The 1,038-nt window shown below is 31.9% G+C and overlaps 1 annotated feature.

Annotated features, from left to right (window-relative positions):
* Window positions 300–402: a silencer, noted in NCBI's record as "fragment chr1:166687833-166687935 (GRCh37/hg19 assembly coordinates)". NCBI's record gives its function as "represses an EF-1alpha promoter that drives an FKBP-Casp9 reporter gene in an ReSE screen in phorbol 12-myristate 13-acetate-treated (for megakaryocytic differentiation) K562 erythroleukemia cells {active_cell/tissue: K562(+PMA)}" and the evidence as "EXISTENCE:reporter gene assay evidence [ECO:0000049][PMID:32094911]".

Consider the following 1,038-nt stretch of genomic DNA (forward strand, 5'->3'; position numbering starts at 1 on the left):
TTCTCATCAGGGAACATGGTTAATGTGTGACGCTCTCCTTTGGTGCTGTTTGATTCCAGTGTTCTTTGGAGTCTGGGGAGGTTTGTCCTTTAAAAATAAAACTGCCATGGAAACTGCTTTACCTGAAATTTTGATTCACAGCCTTCATTGCATTATCTATTGGGACAAAGTAATACCAGCAAAACTGTATTGCTAACTCATGGCTAGGATTCCAAGGTAAAAGCTATTGAATCTTCATTTGTGTGTGTATATACATGTCTAGATGTGTTTATTTATATGCACACTTATTGTTTTATGTTGTGTCTACTGAATTGGCTTATAAGTAAGAGTGCTCATGAATTAAGTAAATCAATCTAAGCAATTTTCAAGTTCACATGACTTAAGTGTAACTTTACTAAACAAGCTGATTTTAAAAATGATTGGTAAAATAAAAATGGAAATGCTTTCAGAATTGTCAGCACACATTTTTGTCTGGATTTTATGTTTGTCTCTACTAGATATTTTAAGATGTCACGGTTTGGCATAGAAGGTTATAAAACTACAAACCCAGACAAAACAAAATGATCTTGGTTTGCATGCCTCTTTTTGACAAATAAGAATAATTTAATGTTAGCTAAATCTTCTGAGTTACTGGCAAAATTACCTATGTATTTAACTTTGAGACTGTTACTTAGGTTTAGGTGAGCACCTGATGTTCACTGGCTATTAAAAACATGGTTAACAAGGAAATAACTAACTTTAAATTATAGTGTCTAATGTCTCAGTTTACAGAAGTAATCTAGATAAATTGTTTAAAGTGAAAGAATTGAGTACAGTGAATGGAACAAATATTGTAGGCAAACTTTTTGTGTAAATTAAAATCTTAAAATTATTTCTGATGCTCATTTAATATCTGGATCTTTCCAATTAAAAAAGTTATGATATGAGGAAATATGTTTCTAAAAATTGTGGAATTGTTCTTATCTATAAATGCCCACATGTGACAGTTCGGGACTTCTGGCTTCTTATGGTTTCGCTAAAGTTTTAGGTTACTAAGGA

This window comes from Homo sapiens, chromosome 1 (genome assembly GCF_000001405.40).
Source record: "Homo sapiens chromosome 1, GRCh38.p14 Primary Assembly".
Classification (NCBI taxonomy): domain Eukaryota; kingdom Metazoa; phylum Chordata; class Mammalia; order Primates; family Hominidae; genus Homo; species Homo sapiens.